This window comes from Homo sapiens, chromosome 2 (assembly GCF_000001405.40).
Source record: "Homo sapiens chromosome 2, GRCh38.p14 Primary Assembly".
NCBI lineage: Eukaryota > Metazoa > Chordata > Mammalia > Primates > Hominidae > Homo > Homo sapiens.
Genome location: NC_000002.12, coordinates 170,090,345 through 170,094,040, shown reverse-complemented (window position 1 = coordinate 170,094,040; position 3,696 = coordinate 170,090,345). Strand labels below are relative to the sequence as shown.

Genomic DNA, 3,696 nt, shown 5'->3' with positions numbered 1-3,696 from the left:
CGATATATGACCTATAGCTAGTTTTTTGGTAGCTAATTTTTATCAAAGTAATTTAAAATATAACAGTAATTGTTTTATATGTGTCTCTTGTAAACAGCCTGTGTTGGTTTTCTATTTAGTCTGACAATCTTTGTCTTTTAACTAGGAATTCAGATCATATGCAATTTAATGTAATTACTGTATGAACTTAAATACCACCCTCTTATTGTACTTTTATTTCTCTTCACTGGCTACATTTCTTTTTCACTTATTATTTTAGATTGCTTTTTATTATTGCATTATCCACTCCCACATTAGTTTGGAAGTTTTACCCTCTTTATACTCTATCTGAAAAATTTTCAAAAAACCTACCCTAGAAATCAACTTTCCAAGGTATAATATTACTCTTCTTCTTTCATTAACATGTATGAAACATGTCCATATATCAGGTGAAGTAAAATGCAATGGGGCTAAGAAGGTGAGTAGCGCAGTCTCTCTTCCTGAAGAACTTAAGTCTAAGTCAGCCTCTTCAGTTTTCTTTTGAAGGATCTCCAGATCTCCCATGTTCAGACCACTACTTCTTTTCTTTCTGCAAATACCATATATTTACAAATAAATTCAATATTTTATGAGCTTATTGTAGAGATTGTCAGCTATTATATCAGTCTTTTTGAAATATTTTTTGGTTTGGGTTTGTCATTTCAAAGGATCCAGCTGTTCTGGATCTTTACAAGTATCTTTTTACACATTACAGCTATCCTCACCACAAACTTCAAGTGAACTATTATCTCCATTATGCAGAGGAGAAAACTGATTTCAGTGAGATTTTCCCAGGAACACACAGCCATTAAGGGGTGGACTGGATTTGAACCCAGACCTATACCCATCTCTAATGACTATATATTTTTCCCACCTTGTCACAGAATTTGTCAAAATGTAGGCTAAATAACTGTAATATGCATTGCTACTTTGAGTGTATATGATTGTCACTTTATTTTTTGAGGTACAATTACATACTACAAAATGTATTCTTTAAAGTGCATAACTGACTGGTGTTTATCACATTCACAACGTTGTGCAACCATGATCACTTTTTAATTCCAGAATGTTTTCAACTCACCACAAAGAAACTCCATCCCTATTAGCAGTTATTCTGTATTTCCCTTCCCCCAGCCCCCGGCAACCACGAATCTACTTTCTGTCTGTATAAAGATGCCTATCCTGGATATGTCATATAAATGGCCTTTTTTGTAGCCTTTGTGTCTGGCTTCTTTCACTCAGCATGTTTTTAAGGTCCGTCCATGTTGTAACATGTATCAGTACTTCATTCCTTTTATGGTTGAATAATATTCCACCATGCAGATATACCACCCTTTGCTTATTCATTGGTTGGCAGACATTTTTCACTATTATGAATAATGCTGTGTAATCATTTGTGTGCAAGTTTTGTGTGAACATATTTTTTCATTCTCTTGGGTAAAGAGCCAAGAGTGGAATTGCTGGGTCATGTGGCAATTTTGTTTAACTTTTTGAGGGAACACAGCATCCTTTCACATACCTACCAGCAATGTAGGAGAGTCTAATTTCTCTACATCCTCCTCAACACTTACTGTTCATGTTTTTCATTAAAGCCATCCTAGTGGGTGTGAAGTGGTATTCCATGATGGTTTTGATTTCCATTTCCGTCATGATGAATGATGTTGAAATCTTTTCATGTGCTTATTTGCCTTCTGTATATCTTCCTTAGATCAAAGCATTCAAGTCCTTGGCCTATTGTTTAAGTGGGTTGTCCTTTTATTGTTGATAGGAGTTCTTTATTTTGGACATTAAGGCTTAGCAAATATATGATTTGAAAATATTTTCTCCCATTCTGTGGGTTGTTTTTTCATTTTCTTGATAGTGTCCTTTGAAGCACAAAAGTTTCAAATTTTGGTGAAGTCAAATTTTTCCTTTTGAAGGGTGGGGAATTGCTTGTGTTTTGTAGATTAGTGGTTCCCAAACTTTTTGGTGCCAGAGCCTGGTTTTGTGGTAAACAGTTTTTTCAGACTGGGGGGTTGGAGCGAGGGCATGGTTTCTGGATAATGCAAGCAATTACATTTATTGTGTACTTTATTTCTATTATTACATTCTAATATATCATGAAATAATTATTCAACTCACCATAATGTGGAATCAGTGGAAGCCCTGAGCTTGTTTTCCTGCAACTAGATAGCCCCATCTGGGGGTGATGGGAAACAGTGACAGATCATCAGGCATTAGATTCTCATAAGCAGCAAGCAACCTAAATCCCTCACATGCTAGTTCACAATAGGGTTCACACTCCTATGAGAATCTGCTGCCACCACTGATCTGACAGGAAGCGGCGATCAGGCAGTAATGGGTGCCATGGGGAGTGGCTGTAAATACAGATGAAGTTTTGTTCACAGCCACTCACCTCCTGCTGTGCAGCCTGGTTCCTAACAGGCCTTGGACTGGTATGGGTCCGTGGCCCAGAGGTTAGGGACTCCCTGCTTTAGATGTTATATCTAAGAAATGATTGCCTAATCTAAGGCAACAAGGACTTAAAACTATGTCCTAAGTATAATATTAACCTTCACCATTTTCTGAGATAATGCAAGGACTTTGGAACATCTATCCCCGTCTTATTACATTTCTGTTAAACACCAACATACATACATACTGAAATCCCATATAATGCAGTATCATAATCATTTTATGCAGAAAGTGTTCATTTAGTTATACTATACATATATTCACAATTTTTATTTTCTTGCCAAAATTTAATCTTCCAGCAGGGCTTATTTTCCTTCTGCCCAAAAACTCTTTTTGTGTTTTCCTTCCTTAGTGTGGTTATGCTGCTGTTACATTCTCTCCATCTTTATTTTAATGTCTTTATTTTGCTATCATTTTTGAAGAGTATTTGTTGTGTAGAGGATCTTCAGTTAAGAGTTATTTTCTTTCCACATTTTGAGGATATTTTTCTATTGCTCTGTTTCCAATGTTACTGTTAAGAAGACAGAGGCCTTTTGAGGTAATCCATCCTTTTTCCACTGAGCAGTTTTTAAGATACTTTTTATTCATTGCAGTTTCACTATTATTTCTCTAGGTATGGATTATTTTCCATTTATCCTATTTGTGATCTTTTGAACTTCCTGAATTTATGGTTCAATGTCATTCATCACTTCTGAAAAATTCTCAGCCATTATCTCTTCTAATATTGTCTCTGCCATATTCTCTCTCCTCTCCCTTCCTGAGGCTCCAATTACAAGTGTGTTTGGTGTTTTCACAGGGTGCTTTATGTCTTTTACCTCTTACTCCTTTTTCATCTTTTAGTCTCTGTGCTCTATTCTATATGCCTCCTTCTAATTTATAACCCAGTTTACCAAGTCTTTCTTTAGCTGTATTTCATCTGATAAACAGCTCCATTTAGTTATTTTTGGTTATCTTTTCAGGACTAGAATCTCTAAAATTTTTTCAAATAAAAAGTTACATGAGTCAAGTAATTATAACAACTGGAGTCCCTGTGATCTGTTTTTATTATTTTTCTATTGATTCTGGCTTTTGTGTATTGTCTCATCATGTTTGTTTACCTGAAACACTTTCAGAAATAGTTTGAGAATTAGGATGATGTCATCAGTCTCCAGAGAGGATATTTTTTTCCAGGCACTGGAGAGTAATAGCAGTCTGTGACCAAGATTTGATTTTGTTTTAGAGCTG

At 35.5% G+C, this 3,696-nt stretch overlaps 1 annotated feature.

Moving 5' to 3' along the window:
- Positions 2,079-2,646: an enhancer, noted in NCBI's record as "OCT4-NANOG hESC enhancer chr2:170947905-170948472 (GRCh37/hg19 assembly coordinates)". NCBI's record gives its function as "activates a minimal SCP1, AML or CMV promoter by ChIP-STARR-seq in naive H9 embryonic stem cells {active_cell/tissue: H9 hESC(naive)}" and the evidence as "EXISTENCE:reporter gene assay evidence [ECO:0000049][PMID:30033119]".